General features: G+C 43.3%; 1 protein-coding gene across 4 annotated transcripts in view; it reads right to left on the bottom strand.

The window, feature by feature from the left end:
• Nucleotides 1-21,730, bottom strand: part of TGFB2 (transforming growth factor beta 2) — a 99,284-nt gene that overhangs the window by 40,354 nt on the left and 37,200 nt on the right. The window lies entirely within an intron of this gene.

The following is a 21,730-nucleotide window of genomic DNA, read 5'->3' as shown; positions in this document are numbered from 1 at the left end:
TGGCGCGCACCTGTAATCCCATCTACTCCGGAGACTGAGGCAGGAGAATTGCTTGAACCCCGGGGGCGGAGGCTGCAGTGAGCTGAAATCACAACACTATACTCTAGCCTGGGCAATAGGGTGAGGTTCCATCTCAAATATCAATCAGTCAATCAATCAATCAAGCTCCTGGGTTGCTTTAGAGTTGTGCTGGCTTTTTTTTTTTTTTTTTTTTGTAATCTGCCAATGTCTTTGAATATGCAACTGAGGCTATACAAAGACCAGAGCAGGTCCTATTCTAACTCCATGCTTTCAAATACAATATTCATTTATCAAGCATCTACACTGTGCAGACCACTTGTTACAGGTATGTTTCTACAATCTTCTTCCAAAATCTCCTACACACTTTCTTTCCCCTTTCCAGAGTGTTTCATCCAACTCTAGTGGCTCCATTTCTTTCTACCCACTCTTCAATTATCTGACTTCATTACAAATAATCATTCACGGTTGTTCATGTTTCTTTATAAATGTTTTTATTACTTCTGCATTATGTTTGTTTATTTTGTTTCCCCTGTGAAATTTTAAGAATCTTGAGGGCAGAGACTGTATTTGCCAGGTCTTTCTTCTTTCCCACGTATCTGGACAGGGTTCACCAAATATCCCGTTTGCATAGTTGGTCATCAACAGGAGTCTCTTGAAAGACTCAGGCATCTGACTGTTGGCAACACTAACTTCTTATTAAATAAATGAGCCATCTTGCCGATCTTAAAATAGAAATAAATACCTTCCGTGATTTATTGGGAAATCCATGCCCTGACGATTACACTGAAGAAAAAAAGATGCTAGGAACACACCAACATTTTCTCATCTTAAGAGCCTGAATTTTTTCCTTCATAGGAACTTTCTCCCAACCCATCTCCTTCCCCTATATATGTGTGACTCTCAGCACACAGGCCCACGGAGAAGCGGGGAATTTCTACACCAGTCTCCTCCATACTGGTTCAGAAAATGACTGTGTGAATTGAGGCTTTATAACCCAGGAGTCAGAAGTCTCAGAAACAAACAAACAAACAAAAAAACCCCAAAAAATCCAAAGTATCCAGGTTTCAAAGAAAAAAAGTATTCATGCAGACATGGTGATGATCCGCCGCATCACCACTGCGAATTAGTTGATGGGCGGCTTCCAGGCCAGGGGGCACTGGTGCACGCAGAAAGGCTTTTGGAGCCCCCTAGCACACAGCATTTTGACAAGGTAGCTGCTGAGAACAAATAGAACTTTTTCTCCTCTGGAATATGCCCGCCCCCATGATTGGAACAGCTGGTCCTATGCCGACCAGCTCAGCTGAAAACAGGCCAGACAACCAGAGAAGCCTAGGCCAGTCTGGGGCCAGGCTTTCTGGCATTGCACACCGTCTTGGCCAAAACCTTCCACAGGCTGATGCTGCATTCATCTTCGCAGAGCCTCCGCATTAGACAGCAGAAGCTTCAAACATCCTTTGAAGGAGCATCCTGGAATAGAGAAGCTAATTTAGCGTGTTTCCTGTCGTTAGGAAGAGTAAACATCTCATTCAATTTTCCCCGCCTCTTTCAGTGGAATCCCTGCAGGCCTCTTCCACTTTCACAAACACCCATCTTTCACACACGCCTGCCTCAATCTTATCCTTCCATCAAGTTTGTAAATAAGTGCTCTTGAGATTTATTTTTATCTCTTTTGTGTTTATTAAACTTTGGACCATTTTTTTCCCCCCTTTTCTGGTCCTCTGCCCATCCACACTCTTTTCTTTTTATGGCTGCCTCAGACCATGAGGTCAATTTTGTTTCTTCTTCTTCTAAGCAAATCATCCAATGATCCTGTCCTAGGCTTTTGAGCTTTGAAGGGGAGTTTGCAAATATTTACAGGAGTAGCTTGCTAGTTAAGTACAGTTGTTCAGCTGGGCTTCCTATACATTGGCAAACAGCCCTCCTCCCCTCTGGCTCTTATAAGCATTTAGGCTGTTTATATTTCAACTGTCTAATAACACAAATCTGCATTTTTGGTCCTTGTTTTATAAGTAGAAGTAGCTAACACACACAGTGAAAGGACTGCTGAGCAGCCCCCATCAGCCACTGCTTTGGTGTTGTAACCATGGTGAAGCGACCAGGCCGGGAGGAGCCGGTAGCCTTCCCTGCCTGTACTCCTGCTCCAGCATACGAGAGTGTGGTAAAAACTGTCAACTGAAGAACCAACTACCCCTTCCAGGGGTTGATGCCAGCTGTCCTGTGCTGTCATCTGCTCTGGGTCACAAGCCCCCTGGCTGGCTGAGGAACATGAGCAACTGGCCAAATGTCTCCTCATTTGGAAACAACAAAATTACTGTCAATTGCTCTAGCACAGTCTTTGACCCTGCCTTTACTTCATAAACACCCTATACACGGAGCAGGGAGACCCAAAAAGGCCCCTTGATGCCCAGTCGGGACGCGGCAGGCTCCCGCCCTCCACTGAGGGAGCCCGGGGTAGGGGCTTAATGGCTTGTGCAGCTCTGATCCACCCGCTTAGTCTTGGAGGGATGGAGCTTTTTCCTCTGCTTCCTCCAAGAACTCATTTCCCCCTTTGGAATGGGAGTTCTCGCTAAAGTCCTCTGTAATGCGCATCCCAGTTCCTATTCCATTGCCAGGTGGTCAGGTACTTGTGTTTGACCTTTGCCAACTTATCCACACTCACATCCTGGCCCGCTCCTTCTCTCAATTTCTGACCTACTTTTTCAGTTCAATCAAATCGATTTTCCTTCAACCCTTTGGATTTCACACCAGGAGGCTGATTCTGGTCCTCCTCCCAGGCTTTCTCATGGGCCTTCCTCCCGGGGAAAATTTTGCACATAGAAGATTCCAGTATGTCATCAAGTGGTGTCCCCCTCACCTCAACCTTGGCCACACATGCCTGCAAAACCATATTTTGGGGACGGAAGGGAGAGAAAAAAAACCTGAGAAAATCTAACTAGTCACTAATTTCCAAAGTAACAGTATACAAAAAGCTTAAATACAGCACTTAATCACATACTACTGTATGAACATTATATGTTGACTTGTATCTGCTCCAAAAAATTTACCAACGTATTGTATGTAAGTATTTTGAACTCACAAATCTTTCCTTATAGTTTTTCTCCACTTCATGAGCGTGTGGCCAGCACAGGGGCACAGGGTCTCCATCCTCAGAAAGGTCTCATACCTGAATTTAGTGCTCTGTGGCCTCTCTAGTCACCATCTTGAAATTCTCAATCATTTTATTTTTGAATTGATGCTTTGTAAGCGAGGTCTTATGGGACAATGGAGCATGCACAGAGGGCTGGGGACCTCAGCCCTGTGCCATCCCACCTCCTGTCACCTGTCCACTTGCCCAGGACTCTCTGCCTCCTACCCCTTGCCTTCTGGTGTCCCCAATCTCACCCTGCCTTCCCTGGCCCGCCCAGTGGCCACTGTTTTCCTCCACCCAATGACAGTTGGGGTCAGGCACACAACCCATGCCATTTCAGGAAAAAGCCTGGTGGCAGCTGTCCCCACCACAAGCTGGCAGTGCCACAATATGTTCAGGGAGCAACCCAGTAGAAGCACGTCTCTCACCCACTCCTTTTTTTAAAATGTTTTCAATACTTTTTGGGGTACAGGTGCTTTTTGGTGACATGAATGAGTTCTTTAATGGGTGATTTCTGAGATTTTCATGCACCCTCTTAATCCAGGTACCAAGCACATCCCAGTGCAGAGTTTGCAACCCTATGGGTTGAAGTGGCAGTCCCATGGGAAGGGAGATACCTGGCTCAATGTGTTATCAATCTTGTGGGCTTGTGGCAGGGGGACCCCAGCAGCTGCTGGACTACATGTTCCAAGTTTTAGGGCAAGGGTCTCAGGTCCCCATGAAAGTCTCCTGTCACTCTGGGAGCATCCCCATGCCCAAGTGAGCACAATATCAAACAGCACATAAAAAAACACCGTGACAGTTGGAGAGCGAGAGAGACAGAGAGAGGGAGACCATGGAACAAAGGAAAAAGTTTTATATTTTAGCATCTTCAATAGTACTCCTTTTCTTTTTTTTTTTGAACAAGAGACCCCATATTTTCATATTGAAAAAGGATTCTGCAAATTTTGTAGCTAGCCCTGCCGAAGCCTCATATAGTTATAGGATTCTTAAGTACTAAAGGACCTTCAAGGCTATCTGAATTCTAATCCAGTTAAGAATGAACTGGTTGAACTGAATCAACCAGTTCCTAGTTTTGTGGCAACAGGGATATTATCTGGCTTTTCTGAGCCTGTTTCTTCATCTATATAATGAAGTAAATAATTTTCTACCTCATATGTATTGGGTCATATTGTCAGGATTCTATAAGTAAGCAGATGGAAAGTTGGAGCGCTGGGTCTAGCACAAATTTCCACACAGTTTCCTCCCTGCCTCCCTTCCCATACCGTAACAGAACTGCCAGGTGGTCAGTGGGCCTTTCATGAATGCCCCCGAGAGACAGTGCTCTGATAGCCTGACAGACCAAATTAGAAGAGGAGAGAAAGAACAGGAGGAGCTAAGTGTCCTGGGGCAGTTTATACATGACGCTATATACTCTAATTCCTTTCCACTGAGTAGGGAGCAATTCCAGTCCCCAAAGTTCTCACAGACTCCCCACCACTATCCTTTAACATTTCACCTGTTTTACTATAAACCTGACCATCAGAAAAGGTGACAAGAGAAATCCTAACTTTCCACTAAACAGCTCTGCATCAAGCAATTTCACCTTTCACTACAATGTTCATATTAGGACTATTTTTATTAAAAAGTTTAATTGACATTGGTACAATACTATTAACTAGGCTTGGATTTCTTCGGTTTTTATATGTACTAATTTTTTTTAATTTTTAATTTTTGTGGCTACCTAGTAAGGGTGTATATATTCATGTGATACATGAAATACTTCGATACAGGCATGCAATGCCTAATAATCACATCATGGTAAATGGGTTATCCATCCCCTTTGAAAACGTACTACAGTTGTGATCATCATTAGGAGAAGCTGTTGAAGGGTATATAGGAACTCTCTGTACTATTTTTGCAATTTCTTGTGAGTCTAAAATTGTTTCAGGCCTGGCACAGTGGCTCATGCCTAAAATCCCAGCACTCTGGGAGGCCAAAGTGGGAGGATTGGTTAAGGCTAGGAGTTTGAGACCAGCCTGGGCAACAAAGCAAGACAAGACCCCATTTCTATTAAAAAATAAAAAATTAGCTGGGTGATGTGGCATGTGCCTGTAACTCCCACCTACTTGGGAGGCTGAGGTGGGAGGATCACTTGAGCCTGAGAGGGTGAGACTACAGTGAGCCATGACTGAGTCACTGCACTGAAGCCTGGGCAACAGAGTGAGACCTGTCTCTAAAAAAAATTAAAATAATCCAGGCACAGTGGCTCACGCCTGTAATCCCACCACTGTGGGAGGCTGAGGCAGGCAGATCGCGAGGTCAAGAGATCAAGACCATCCTGGCCACATGGTGAAACCCCGTCTCTACTAAAAATACAAAAATTAGCTGGGCGTGGTGGCAGGCGTCTATAGCCCCAGCTACTCGGGAGGCTGAGATAGGAGAATCGCTTGAACCCGGGAGGCAGAGGTTGCAGCGAGCCGAGATTGCACCACTGCACTCCAGCCTGGTGACGGAGAAAGACTCCAACTCAAAAAATAAAATAAAAAATAAATAAATAAAATAAAATAAAATAAAATAATTTCAAAATAAAGTTAAAGGTTAATAAAAAAACAAAACTGAATAAAGGTCTTACAATGTCACTCATATGTGATGAGCTCTGAAACAGAATGTAGATTTGAGGCTTGCAAGAAGTCCCCCAATGATGTCTAGGGTTCAGCCCTTCAGGAGGGCAATGCTTCAGCCATCTATCTATTGTTTATTCCCTCTTAGATTGGTTACACCACAAAACTGGCAGGAAGAAAGTGCGTGAATGTTGAAATGCTTGGGTCAAGAACCTATAGGTATTTGCTGTATTTGCTAAAGCAGTGGTTCTTAAAGTGAGGCTCCCAGCCCACGGCATCAGCCTTGCCTAGGAATCCGTGATAAATGTGAATCATCCAGGAAAGTCTGATGGCACCATTTCATCAAAGTTTGAGAACCAATGTGTGACTACATACTGGTTGACTCCTAGCTGGTGAAACCAGTCCTAGTTAACAATTAAAAGCAGATTGATAAAGTCCGGGGAAAAGAAGAAGGAGGCTTTAGTGTTTAATATCAGCTTTCTTGGAGTCAGCACTGACCACAATTGTCAAGGACAGACAAGCACTGGTCTCAGTGTCCTCGTGGGGGATTTTCCAAGATAAGCCAGAAAGGTCAGTAGTTCAAAGTGAAACACAGAAGGTGTGGGTATGAACGGAATTGGTAGTGGCCTGGAGGTTTTGTTTATCCTCCTGCCTGAGGTACTCACCGATTACCTCAACATCAAGTCCAAGCTAGTCCCCCTCCTAGAGGCAAAGCTAAACGAGGCTTACAAAGCAGCACAGGTTCCTGCTCATTGCAGTGGATATATGGATCCTATATAACAGTCTTTCTTAAAGAGTATGGATGGTGGTCTGCATTTTAGCAAACTCCTTGAGCAATTCCTATGTACCCTAACATTTCAGAACTGCTGAAATATACGACAGAAGAAAAGAAATCTACAAAGAAATACAGAAAGACAAAGGAGCACCTAAACTTTTTTTTTTTTTTTTTTTGAGACGGAGTCTCGCTCTGTTGCACAGGTTGGAGTGCAGTGGCGCGATCTCGGCTCACTGCAAGCTCAGCCTCCCGGGTTCACGCCATTCTCCTGCCTCAGCCTCCCGAGTAGCTGGGACTACAGGCACCCACCACCATGCCCGGCTAATTTTTTGTATTTTTTAGTAGAGACGGGGTTTCACCGTGTTAGCCAGGATGGTCTCAATCTCTTGACCTCGTGATCCGCCTGCCTTAGCCTCCCAAAGTGCTGGGATTACAGGCATAAGCCACCGCGCCCGGCCTTTTTTTTTTTTTTTAGATGGAGTCTTGCTCTGTGGCCCAGGCTGGAGTGTAATGGCGCAATCTCAGCTCACTGCAACCTCCGCCTCTTGGGTTCACGCAACTCACCTGTCTCAGCCTCCTGAGTAGCTGGGATTACAGGCGCCTGCCACCACGCCTGGCTAATTTTTTGTATTTTTAGTAGAGACGGGATTTCACCATGTTGGCCAGGCTGGTCTCAAACTCCTGACCTCAGGTGATCCACTGCCTCCGCCTCCCAAAGTGCTGGGATTACAGGCGTGAGCCACTGCACCTGGCTCAAGCACCTAAACTTTGGATCAGGCTTTATACCTAGAAAAAAAGAGTAAGACAGAGAAAAGAGGAAGAGTTCTAAAGCTCTTAAACTGGAAAAATAGGATTCCTCTATGATTTGCAGTAGTAGTCTGCCTTGACTGCACATTTTAATCAACGGAGGAACTTGAAAATCTTGATGCCTGGGTTGAAGTCCCTAAAAGTCTAGTTAATTGACTGGGGTGGACTTAGTTTTAAGTTCCTCAGATGATTTTAAATGTACAGCCAGGATCAGCACCCCTCACTGAAAGAAACTGGTAGTACTCAGACTGAAGAAGGGAAGACTTAGGGATATCAAATCTCAAGGGATTTCAAAGATTTCAGGGACTTACTTTCTATATAGCCAAGGAGCCACAGTTTGACTCAATATAAAAATAATTTTCTAAAAATTTAGAAGATTAAAAAAAAAAAAGAAACCAAACAACTCACTCTCTTTCAAGGTTGTGAGAGATCACACCTCACTGGCCTCCCTGGAAGAACCTGTGTACTCACAAGGCGCAGTCTGTCCCAAAAGATGCAGTGGGGCTTCCTGAATATGGTGGCAGGGTGAGCTAGATGGCCTGGCAGCCCACTTCCAGTTCTGCCATTACATCATGCTCTCCACCGATGGAGCCTCCAAAAATTGTTTTTCTTCCCTAAATTCCACTATGTTAGTTAGATATTTGTTTACTCACCCCCTGCATCAAAATCACCTGATAGGCTTATTAATATGCTTGTTACTTGGTTCCATATTAGATCTACTGGGTGAATAGTAGGCAATTCTTTTTTACACTCAAGTTTGAGAACTTCTGCCCTAGACTATGATGGTCTAACCACAATGCACTTGACCAGGCTTCCCTTCTGGTTACTCAGCGTCATGAACTAGCTAGAGAGGAATGAAAAATGTCCATCCTACCTTTCCTACTCCAAAAAGAATGACCTGATTTCACTGCAGGCTCAGAATTCTATTTTATGTCCCCTTCTCATTTTATAATACCTTTACTAACTTCATCACTGCAAAGGCCATTTTTTAATCCCCATTTCACAGATAAAGAAATCAAGGCCTGGCGCGGTGGCTCACACCTGTAATCCCAGCACTTTGGGAGGCCGAGGTGGGTGGATCACGAGGTCAGGAGATCGAGACCATCCTGGCTAACATGGTGAAATCCCGTCTCTACTAAAAATACAAAACAAAATTAGCCAGGTGTGGTGGCAGACGCCTGTAGTCCCAGCTACTCTGGAGGCTGAGGCAGGAGAATGGTGTGAACCCAGGAGGCAGAGCTTGCAGTGAGCCGAGATTGCGCCACTGCACTCCAGCCTGGGCGACAGAGCGAGACTCCATCTCAACAAAAAAAAAAAAAAAGAAAAAGAAAAGAAAATAAATCAAGAGTGAGGAAAGTAAAATAACTTTGGGCTAAAGTCGAAGTGAGGCTAGCCTTTGAATCCAAAGCTTTTCAGTATAATATCCTGCCTTCTGTGCAAAGGAGTCCTGAGTTGAAGGTATGACTACCACGCCAGGCAGAAACACCAACACATGCAATGGAGCGTGGTGGCAACAAAATACAAATAAAATAACAAGGCAGCAGCTCCTCCTCCACTAGAGATAAGTTTGACCTTGAAGTAAAGCTTGAAAAACTTTAATGCAAGGCCATAGTATTTTCACGGATACTCCCTAAGAGAACGCACCTGATGTGGAGACCTGGGGGCTCACCCAGTGTGAAAGTTTCCCAGTGAGAAGCACTTTACTAATACCAGTATTGCCCAGGGTCTTTCAGATCCCCATACATTGGTGCCTAGTGCTGCTGTTCTCAGTGGTATCCCCTGGCTCTTATTCACAAGCCCACAGAATGAAGAGAACAAACCCCCTCATTTCCCTTTCCAGAAATGACTGCACTTTTCCTGCAGCTCAGCAGTGACTGGTGTGGACTTCTGACATGCTTAATGAATGTGTAGTGGCCCCTCATTCCTGACATCCCCAGCTTTGAAGGAAGTAGTTTGGGGTTCATTAGCCATTCCCCAGAGTGTGGCAAGACAAGCAACCCACCGAGTGGTTGGAGGGCAATAAACTAGCTACTATTTGTGTGTGCACAGACACAGCCAGCAAGAAACCAAGACAATTGTGTTTTGGGGTTTTCTGAAATTTGTCTTGGCACACTGGATATGGATTTTATTTCACTACCACATCCCAAACACTGCTGACGTTCAAGTCACAGCAATTTAACATAAAATGACTAAGAAATAAACAGCGCATCAGCGGTGGTTTCTGATTTTCTCTCCGGCCATCCCACCTATTACATGTAACACAGCACCAGAGCATCTGCTATGTAAAGACAGAGTCTCCGAGAGGGGGATGATATCAGACTTGACGAGCTGTTGGCAATGGTGAGTCTAATTGTGTCGGCATCAGCTTACGTGACTTGGCCTTCATCTAACTGCTATTTGAGACTGTGCGTACTGTCAGCATGAGTGTTTGGGCTCCTTCTTACACTGCGCAAAAAAAAAGTAAAATAACAGTGGTGCCGGCCCATGGTGTTTAGTTTTCTTGAACTGTGTCAGACATGGGGTTTCCAGTTTCTATTCCAAAGTTTCCATCATCCTCATAAAACCCCACCTACACGGAGACACCTATTTCACTTCAGTTCCTCTACATTCCTCATCAGGCTCAGGGTTGTGCAGGCAGTTTGTGTAGGGTGTACTGGGTGTTAGCAGTAAAAGCATTGGGTGCTGAAAGGGCAGGCCAACTGTTGATGTTAAGAGGCCAATGCCGGCCGGGTGCGGTGGCTTACGCCTATAATCCAAGCACTTTGGGAGGCCGAGGCGGGCGGATCACGAGGTCAGGAGATCGAGACCATCCTGGCTAACGCAGTGAAACCCCGTCTCTACTAAAAATACAAAAAAAAATTAGCCAGGCATGGTGGTGGGCACCTGTAATCCCAGCTACTCGGGAGGCTGAGGCAGGAGAATGGCGTTAACCCGGGAGGTGGAGCTTGCAGTGAGCCGAGATTGCGCCACTGGACTCCAGCCTGGGCGACAGAGCAAGGCTCTGTCTAAAAAAAAAAAAAAAAGAGGCCGATGCCTAACGTAGAGGAGTCTCAGAGCCCATGAGCATGAAGAGTATGGCTGCACCCACGTTTGTGGGCAGGTAAACCGTGAATGTGATATGTCCCTTCCCAATGGCCTCATCGGGGCAGGTGGTCCTCACAGCTGGAACAGGCCACTGAAGCAGCTCTTCTCTGCCATAATCTCATCCCTTAAAGCAGATAACTTTATTTTTTTCTTTTTCTCTCTCCCTTCCTATCTTTTCTACTTCCTTTGCTCCATTTTCTTTCTCTCCTCTTTTTCTCACTTCCCTTCAATCTGTGCTTTTGTTTGCTGTGATATCCAGGGAGCAAAATAGTCATCTTTTTGGTTCTTTCATGGCTTTTAATGAGGCCAGTGAGCCCATGACACAGATAACCATATACCATTCTAGAATGCAGTAAAGGCTTCAAACAAGATCAGTAGAAGGAAGCCGGCCTGTGTTGATTCCTTTAATGAATTAAACTTGGAAATTTAGGATCTCATCCTTAACCTTTTAATAGATTAGAAGCACATTTTATTTTGATCTCTTTTACAGATTAAGAAACTGAAGGGTAAAATCTTTGCAGGATGACACCAAGCATTGGCAAAATAGGACTTAAACCACACAGCCCTGGACATCCTTGCTCAGCATTGGACATTCTTGCTCATCCCTGCAAAGAAAGCACTCTTATCCCACAACAAATAAACGCCAACATTCCCCTTTCCAGAAACGAATGCACTTTCCCCTGCAGCTCTGTAATGACTAGTATGGACTTTTGACATGCTTAATGGGTGTAGCGGGTCATTATTAGCCGAAAATCTTTCTCTAATCTTTTCAAAATTATAGCAGTGATGCATGTAATGGCCAATGCATGTCTTGTACTGTGAGATTTTCTTTGTGTTTTCTGTAAGCTTCTTGCTTGTGGGCTAATTTTTCTGTAAGGGAATTGCCTAATTACTTTGAGGCACTGTGCTGATTTGTTGCTCTGCCCTAAAGCTTAAGCTAATAAGTGGCGGGGCACACCCTGCTAGGATTGCAAGCTGTTTACCAACTTAACCAAGTGGCATGGGCTGTTATTACTAGCACATTAAATTAATGGCTTGAGAGTGAATAAATACGAAGAGGAATACATGGTCTGGATTATCCAGTTTTAGAGAAGTAAAAAGCAAAGACAGCTGATGTTCAATTTCTCTGCAAGTCTTTATTGAAATTAGAAATGATAGCACACAAAGGGGTTGCCTGGCACCTACTAGGTGCTCTCTCTTATAAGCATCAAACTCTTCTTACTGCAATTTTCTTTACAAGACAAGACAAGACAGTTTCTCTCAGAACCCTTCAGTGACAGAGAACTTAGAACCCAGACAGGTGGCCCACTTCAGCCTCTGACCATTGTTCCAACAGTACAAGAGTTCTTCCCTACCTCAGGCTGACAGCTGCTTTCTACAAGAGCTACACCACATAAGTGGGTCTAGTTCAGCCACATAAGATGATCTATTCCCTTTCCACTCGATCCTACTTAGATCAAGCCAGTTTTTTGTTTGTTTGTTTGTTTGTTTGTTTTGAGACGGAGTCTTGCTCTGTCGTCCAGGCTGGAGTGCAGTGGCATGATCTCGGCTCACTGCAAGCTCCGCCTCCTGGGTTCACACCATTCTCCTGCCTCAGCCTCCTGAGTAGCTGGGACTGCAGGCACCCGCCACCATACCCGGCTATTTTATTCTTATTTTTTTAGTAGAGATGGGGTTTCACGTATTGGCCAGGATGGTCTCGATCTCTTGACCTTGTGATCCGCCCACCTTGGCCTCCCAAAGTGCTGGGATTACAGGCGTGAGCCACCGTGCCTGGCCGATCAAGCCAGTTTTTGAAGCCAGTTTTTGCATCTTCTCTTCTTCATCTCTTTTCTTCTGTAAGCAAACATCCCATCTTTCCTTTCACATTTTGTCATGAAAGCCATTCACTTGTTCTAGTTGTTCTCTACTTTGCCCCAATCTTAAACCTGAACCATTACATCTGAACATAATTCTCAAGGCAGAATAGAGTAGAACTATCTATCCCCTTCCTTATGTGGAACTTATGCTTTTATGAATGCATCCCAACAATGAATTATTCTATTTTTTGACCTTTGCACTCACATCATACATTCTTTGTATTCTGAATGTCTAATAAATTACAAGTCTTTGGTCTTTTCCACACAAACAGTTTTGCAGATGTCATCATCTTACGCTTACACCCTGTGCAATATTTACAATATACTCCTATTCAGGGTATACTTATTTGATTTAAGTCCTGATTTTAAATATGCTGAGAAGGATTTGAAGTCTGATGTGGTGAGCCTGTGCATTCATTTGTTAAATGATACTGCAGGGCACAGTGTTGTGTAATAAAATGAAGAATCGTTGATGTTATTTCATTCAATCCCCAAAACTCACAGATAAGGAACAAAGGTCTTCAAGTTTGTTTAGGTGGAAAAGGACCTGAATTCACACTAGAACTTATTCCTTCTGAGGTGCTTCTTCTGTACTAGGCACTTCCCACTGTGCTGCTCAACTCCAGGGACACAGCCAAGTCTACGGGCAGGGGCTCTGGACCTGTACAGGCACACACTACCACCACAGTGAGTCTTCCAGTTTGCCCAGCAGCACATCTTCTTCAAGGGGGACCAGTAGGCCAGCTGTGTCCTACTGCAAATCATCAAGGAAAATGGCCAGTGGGACAGAACTCAGGAAGGTTCTGGAACCCACCTTAGCCCAGAATGCCCATCCTCTATTAATCAGCACTCTGAGGAATTCGTTTCAAAATATACTTCCTTGAAAAGCTGAATGGAAAGTCTGAATTTTTGTTTATGCCAAATGGTAGCCCTCTATCTAGAATATAAAGATAGTAGGGAGTAAGCATTGCTCGGAAGAAACGTTAAGTTACCAGATATCCATATTAGCACTTCAGTAGATGGCCATTTAGTGCCAGAAAGAATATTGAGAGTTTCAAATGATGGTGCTTTCTTAGGGTTGGTAGATGTATTCATTAAGGGTGTGCACTCTTCCCTCATCCTGTTTGTACTGGCAACACAGCTATGGGCAATTAAGATATGGGAACATACAGGAATTATAGGAATCCAGATGAACTGTGGCATGAACGAGATCTGGAATGGAGCCAAGGGTGTTATGCTTGTTTTAAGGAATCATGTTCATTTGGGTGCTAAGCAGCTTTCTGTTCTTCAAGGTTGGGCCACTGTTTGTGAGAGGAAGAAAAACAGCCTTTAAATTAAGAATCTCCATTGCAGAACTAGACCCTGGCTAAGTACTTTAAAATGTTTAAGTATGTGTTATTTTAATTCAATTGAACTAGCTGAGAGCAAGCCCCTATAGTTTAGCTTCAATCTCATTATTTTTGTGCACAGAGGCTATAAAATGTTTGAATTTTAACCTGCTCTCGGGACACTGGGAGAAAAAACTGACTGAAAAATGGCAGCTAGGGTCTCCAAGGAGTTAATCCAGCGGGTCCCAACTTATTGGAAAGCACAGTCGTTTTGAGAATGGAAGGAGAATTCTTAAGAAAAAAATAAGCTGTTTTTTTTTTTCTTTGGGGAAGCTTAAGATCTGTCATATAGCTCTCTCTGTTTTCTTTAGGAACATTCAAGAAGTCTTTGCAATGGAGGTGCAAAAAAAACTCAGGTGGTTCCCAAAGCTTTCCTGCTTTCTTTTCTCACTAGTGGTTGTGTAGACCGGGGTGGGGGCACGACAAATGCTTTTAGTTAGTTCCAAGTCAATGGCTGTTCTGTGCTTCCTGAAAAGCATTTACTAAGTCCTCTTTAAAGAAGTGTTTCTTGATTAAAGCCAGTGGTTTATAAATGTGTGAGGGTGAAAGTAAATAGAGCACCATAGTGGAGTGGTACATATATAACAAAAATTAACAAATAGCAAATGAAGATATAGAGATGGGAATTTTACACAAAGCCTGCATGGGGCTTACCTATGTGTACTCAAGTATATCCTAAAGTCAGTGGAATCACTTCTCGTATGTCAGGGTGCCTCAGTGATGTCACTGAAGATGTTTATTTCTCACATATTACATTGGTTTCACTAATCTACTCTTAAAGGTTAGACATGTCTGAAAAATTTCCTTGTGTCAGAAAAGTGAAAAAATAGTGACTTCTACAATTGCATCTGAATACCTTAATTCAGCTTCTATGTGTGTAGTGCCTGAAAGGTTACCAATAAAGAACGTATGTTCCTTGAATAGTTGATAAGCACCCATATACACTGTACCACAGAGCACCCATGAGATACTATCTGAGTACATTCATTGGCCAGAGGGGTTTTGATCAGGGAAAATTGATAACTCCTCTCAATTCTTTTCAGTGATCTTAAACACTTGAGAATGTTCTTCAGCCGGAAGCAAGCTGTGCTGCTGTCTGACTGTAGCACTGGATTAGAGATCACTGAAGGCTAGGCAGAGGTCTGCTTTACTTGAAAGCAGGTGCATATGGGACCGGTACAGGAAGAACAGCCTCTCTATCGGGCGAGGGTGCCTTTGTAAGTTTCACAAGCACAGATACTGAATCTGTCATCTTCCCACTCCTGTGTCCTAGCTCCAGGCCCAGGACAAGGTCTCTTAGTACACAATAGGTGTTCAACATGTATCACAAAGCAAAAGGAAATTAATCGCTCTCAAACAGCTAAGTCACATAACAATGATGAATGTTAATCCCAATCCTTTAGGTCTTCATAGTGTTTCACCAAGCACCTCCACATATACTATTTCATCCTAGCCTGATAACCCTGTAAGCCAGGTTAGGATTACCCCCATTTTACTGTTGAGAAAACCACAATTCAGAGGCCAAATGATTCGATGTAAGTGACTCCCCCAGACTTCTCAGTGCTAATCCAACGCTCATCTTCTGACATCGAGCTCAAGAATAGGCTCCCCTGTAGGATATCAAGCAGCCAGTGGAATAACGAACCCTGTATAGAGTGCCTTCTAAAGGGCAAGCACATTCAGCTGAGAAGGCCAATTCTGAGACCGCCATCATATTCCAACTTGAAGAGATACAGCAACATTAAAACAAACAAGCTGCCTTTTCAACTGGCACTGATACTCTGACAAGAGCGATTTTTCTCTTCATTATGATTGTGAATAGTTATTACTAGTGCTGAGAGCGGAAGTATCTTCCTCTAAACGCACAGCAGCCTTAGAGTGTACAATGTCTGGAAGGGACCAGGATGGAGAAAGTTATTAGTGTTCAGGCAGCCAACTCAGGGATCAGCTATTCAGCGGCTCCCGACATACGGTGACCTTCTTTGGAAATGGTACTTTGGGAATGACCTAGGGATAAGATCCAGAGAGGGACAAGCAAGGAAAGGACCAGGTCCCCCATGTTTCAGCAGGAATAAAGATGTCTTCAGAACAGCCTGCTCTTTCTTTCATGGTGGGCGAGGGGGCCACGGGTCCACCTCAGTGGGCACAGCGGAGACTCAGAGATGTTGTCTGAGCATCAGCTTCAAAGACAAAATCACTTTTTGGTGTGCCAAGCAATCCATAATTGCCCAGTAGTTTACTGAACTTTAAAATTTCCCTCTGGATGTGGGGGGGCCAACTGTGACCTCTCTTCCCTCAGGATGGCCTGACGCAGGTCAGACTGCCTTGGACAGGCAATCGGTGCAGCCTAAACACAGACAGAGTTTTAAAAACTCCAGTTGATCCCTTTGCTTCCTTTTATTGAAAACAACTAACTGCACATTACCCCTTTTTTATTGTCAGAAGGAAGCTGGGGAGCTCTAGGAGCCAAAATGTGCCTTCTCCATAGCTCTACTCTAATTATATACTATGCCTAATTCCACGTCCATTCCTCTGTGGGTGCACAGGTCCTTTAACTATAGCTTCTATTCTTGCAGAGGACACAGATGTGTTCTTGCTGTCTATGGGCCTTCCAGATCACAGTCATTTCCATGTAGAATAATGCCAGTGGGGGTGGGGGGACATAGAAAAAGACATGAACTTCATGGCATGGTGAACCCTTTCAAATATCTCAGAGAAGGATCCCAGAATCCTAAAAGGATTTTGTAAGTCTCATAGCCAGGCAACATAGAGTCATCAATCCTAATTTCCCAGCCTTCAATCAGACCACCTTTTCTCACAAGTCTGCCTTGGGCAGAAGAAACAAAAAGGTCAGGTGGGAACAGGCCTTGTACAGTAACCACTTGAGCTGTGAAGGGATTTAAGATGTGCAATATGGGAGGGGCTTTTCAGGAGTGAGCATTAAGAGAAGGTAGTGGTACAACTGATTTCTCTGTAGATCTCATATAGGGTATCATCAACTTCCCAGGCCTCGGTTCCCTCGTGTCTAAAAGAATAATTGGGCTTGGATGAGACTCTTCCATCCAAGGCTAGGAGAGACACTACCTGCCCTTGAGGTTACTGGGTTCAAGGTGAGAAAGCACTACCCTCTGTAGCTGGGCATGCCTTTTCCAGGAACATAGACAGCATGGTACCAAGCAAGCCTACTTCAATTCTTAACCATCCTTTTCTCTCTCTTAACCTCTAACAAGTGCACAGTCTTGATACATTTCAGATATCCCAAAGAGACAACTCCACGGCATGTCAATTTTTGTACCTTCTGACCCCAAACTCCCTTTCCAGCTTAATGGGCACCCTGCTGTCTCCCCTCCACTCCCCTCCCACCCCTGCCATACTGGACTCTGCCCCAGCCCCTAAGTGCACCACATCACTTCCAATCTCCAAATATGCCAAGCACCACCACACCCATGCCATGTCAGTCTTTCACCTAGAAACCTTTACATTTGGCAAATTCTATTCATCCTTGAAGGTCCAGCCTAGTGTCACCTCTTTTTAGAAGTGTCTCTGGCTCTTCCAGAGCACAATGAATTTCTCCATTCTTTGCATCCTGGCACTTATCATACTGTGTATTATAGTGGCCTCTTTAGGTGTTCACCTTGATAGACGGGAACAGCAAAAGAGCAGGGACTCACTTTATTTCTGTATCTTTAAAATATGATAATACTAGCATTTGCCTCTAAGAATTGCCATAAGGATTAAATAAGGTAATAAATATGAACATAGTAAGTACTCAGTAAACGTAAGCTTATATTATTAACAGAACATTGACAGCCAAAGAGGAAAGGGTGCACCTACTTTCAGAATCTGATGTCAATAAGACTTTTCTAGGCAGGAACATAGAAAAGGTCACAAATCTCAAGACAGGAGCAGTATCAAAAAGCTTGTGGATGGAAGCCCTCCCTTTCTCTGCCATCCAGAATCAAACAAACCAGAATGGCCCTGGGGTCTGCCTCTACTCCTCAGTTTGTAACTATTAGCATCAGGAACCTGTGGGCAGGCTTGAGCCTGATTCAGTAGGACACATCTTAGAAAGCCATTCTTGGAGTCATTAGTTTTGTTGGCCCATTAGATTACTTGATAAATCAGCTACACAAAGAGACTTCCAGTGATTTTCTAGGAGCAGTGCCTACATTTGAAAACAACTTACAAAGGGCTTTCTTCGACATAATCTCATTTTTAATGACATCTGGCAATCTCATATAAATGCTATCTTATTGATAGTGCCTACTAGGTTGGCTAGATAATTTCCAATCCCCACCATTCTCATTGTGTGAATGAAGAGACTGAGGTTTCCAGCAGGCAAGTCACTTGTGCAACAGTATACAGCTGAAACAGAAAGGTAGCTGGAAATTTGCAAATCAAGTCTATCTGATCCCAAGTCCACACTCTTTCCACTGTCCCGTGTCCCCACCTCTCCTGATAAAGATTTGTTCTGTAGTACTTAAAGGATGGGGTGGGGGTGATAAATCTCAGAACAGCCCAAGCTCAGTACAGTGAAGAGCCTTCAAACAGAGTTACCTACAAAAGGTTCAAGCAACATCCCTGCGAGTAGCCAGGATCTTATGACAGGATTCAAGGAGTAATGACAGAACTAGATGACCTTTAAAATGCAACCATGGGAGTCTCTCTGAACTTATTCTGGTTTGGGGGAAAAGGCTGGGGGAGAGGCTGCCCAATTAAGAAAAAATAAAAATAAAAACAAAATAAAATGCAACAACTGTGACAACCTGTGACACTGAGGCTTATTAGAGAAGTCTAGTTCTAACAGCTTAATTCTTCAGTTTTCCTCCAAGGGGAAAGATGGGAAAGGAGCCAGACAGCACTGAGTTCAGAGACTGAGCTTATGAAAAGCCTAATTTTGGTTTTGAAGGACACACTAGGAGGCCCCTGCTATGCTCCATCTCATGAGCCCCTCACCAGCCAAAGACACCCTCTGTGTGTGATCCTCTGCAGCTATGTGAGAAGATCTTGGTCTTAGTCTTGACATGGGGTCATGTTAAAACCCTTCAGCAAAAAATCTCCCAAATATCATGGCTAAAGGGATAAAGGGGCTTATACACCAAGGATGGCCACTTCTTAGCAGGAATTCTCATTTTCCTCTGAAGTCGTGTTACTTTGGGGAAGGCCCAAAACCTCTGTGCTCTGTGAACCGGTGATCACAGGCTTTCGTCAAGCTCAAATACGATAATGCATGTCCACGTCCTTTTGTTAAATGCAAAATGATAAGTACAAGGTGGCATCACTGTACTTCAACTTATTCTTAATTATCATTGAATAACAATATGCTGTCCACATATTCCAGAGGTCATTCAGAAACACCAAGCATTTGCTTACATTATCTTATCTAATTCTACTCTACCCTTCTAAACAACTTTTGAGGTACATCTCCCTTTTGCAGATAAGGAAACTGAGGCTCAGAGCTACCAACCAGAAAGTACCAGTAAGAGAGGGGGAAAAAATAGAATCAAACCCAGATCCTACCTCCTAACAGGTGTTCCTCCCACTCACCACACCCATCCCAAACATGGGAAGGGTTCACTCTGGTTTCAATGCATATAATAATACGAGCCATCTGCCGGGTGGTTATGTGACATCATTGTGGCATCGGCCTTAGGAATAATAACTGCACAGGCTGCAATGTGCTCTGGGGGCAGCCTCTGAAGCATCTGCAGCCACTTTGTCCTCAACTGTCAGAGACAATCGGGCTTCACTGAACCTCCTCCTGCCATGAGTCATCCCCCACGTTTCATGTTAACCATCCATTCTCAGCAGATTTGAATTCTGCCTTCTGTCCTTTTCTGGTGAGACTCTAGGGGTGTGAATGGACTGTCCATAGCCCCTGAGTTTAAGGAAAAATGAGATGAAGCAAACGTATGTTAAATCCACTGCCTGGAAAGCCAGCCTCTCTCAATATGTACAGGGCCAAGAATAACAGCAGCTGGGTCTGACCTGGATTATCTCGTTTAAGCCTCACAAGAACTCTGCGAGGTAGATACTGTTTTCATTTCCATTTTGCAGATGAGGAGACTAAGGCTTATGAGGATTAAATAATTTATCTAAGGTCACACAGCTAATAAGTGGTACAGCCAGAGCGGAAGTGACTTGTAATGAACCACTTTTAGTACTTTATTTTAAAAGGTAAGATAGCCTCTTATTATACATAATCTGTCTTATAACACATAATAGTATAGGAAGCATTTAACATGCTTGTTTTTCTAAGGCTTTCAAATATCCCACATACCTGCTAACGCTTTTTCCACCACGATATTCCAAATTATTCTAACTCCATTCCTACATACATAGCTACTTTAATTATCTACCTGAAAATGATTATAACTTTTAACCCAATAAAATAATGAGTGACAAGACAGTTATTAAAAATAAAACCCATAACCAATGCATTCAAAATACTTATGCTATTTAATTCCTTTTTTTTTTTCTTTTTAATGAATCAAGATGTTCTAGAAGAGGAGAGGGGGGAATATCTGTGACCTTATATTATTTAAATAAATCTTAAAAATACTTTCTCTGTATCTCATTTTCACAGAACTGTTAAAACAACCACAAAATCGTCATAAATGACAAACTCTGTGACGTGGAAAGGAAGGAAAGGGAGGAGGAAAAGCATTCTTGTGTTGTTTCACAATTATTTTCGGGATCCCGAATGTGGTGCTTTTTTGTCAGTACATGTTTACTCTCTACCTTTCTAGATGGGGAAATCCAAAGCCAATATTTCTTAGTCTAAAATGCCTTTCATGGAAAGTTTTTCCAAAGCCTGTGGTTGATTTTATTGCAATCTGTAACCCATCGAAACCTGACTCATGGGATATATAATCAAATCTCGCAAGTCCTTCGCCACGTAGCTGTGTGAAAATCCTTCAGTAAAAAAACTCACAAACAGTATGGCTGAAGGGACAAAGGGCTTCTGCAAGGACTGCCATTTCTTGCTAGGACTTTCTGCCTGTGAAGCCACTTGAGGGCTGTGTGACAATGAACACCTGAGGACACTCTCCCTCTCCCCCACACCCCCCACATACACACACTTCTCATGCACCTGCTTTCCCAACAAAGAAAATGAAAAATGACTTCTGAAGGGCAAATTAGCAGCCCTATTATTGCATTTTAAAATGGTCTTGTGTTTTTCTAAAGGCAGATTCATATTTGCAATAGACTATACATTAAAAAGGACACATGCTTTCCAGCTTTGAATTTTGGACCCTCCTAAAAAAATAAAGGTCACTTGCAAATTCCTGTAGAATTATGCATTGACAAAACAGAGGTTTCAGATTCTGTCTAAATGTGGCTCCATTCGAGCTCATAGTCTTCTAATTAAACCCCTGGTTGCATCATAAATCCAGTCCTAGGGCCTTGCTGTAATATCCAAGGGCAGAATACAAAAGCTTAAGACTCCATCACATAGGTTTCTTTCCTCTTCGTTGGGAATTGCCTTTCTTTTTAACTTTATCCTCCCTTGAAACCTTTCCTTATCACCTAGTGTTTAATTTAAAAACTCAAATATTTTCAAGAAGACTCCAAAAAGAATTTACAGTAGGCTAGTGTCATAAAACAATCTTCTTACCCCCATGAACATTTATTTTCAAAATTTGAGATGAGTAGCCAAAAGAGAAACACCACCTCATACCTCCATATAGACCACCAGTGCTTAAAATTGAATACTCATGAAAGACTAGAACTCCTACGGGAAGTAGAAGTGGCATTTGAAGGTGATCTTAGTGATTGTGTTGGGAGCAGAAGTTTGTGACTTTAGTCCTTGTTTTCCTAGTCCTGACTTTTTTACCCAGAGACTGGCCGATTCATCACAAGCAAATCACTCCATCTCTCTTCTACTTTAAGATTTCAAGTGATAGAAAATCATCCCTTGAATTCAGTTCCTATGTGTCCAAATGTCCAGTGGGACATGGTGGTACTGTGAAGTAAGTAGAGAAAAAAAAATCTCACTTTCCACAAAACAAATTTATTATTTCTGAATAATCTATGAATACTTTAATTCAGAAGTATGATCAACT

This window comes from Homo sapiens, chromosome 1 (genome assembly GCF_000001405.40).
Source record: "Homo sapiens chromosome 1, GRCh38.p14 Primary Assembly".
In the NCBI taxonomy this organism is placed as follows: Eukaryota; Metazoa; Chordata; class Mammalia; order Primates; family Hominidae; genus Homo; species Homo sapiens.
This window is presented reverse-complemented; position numbering and strand designations above follow the sequence as displayed.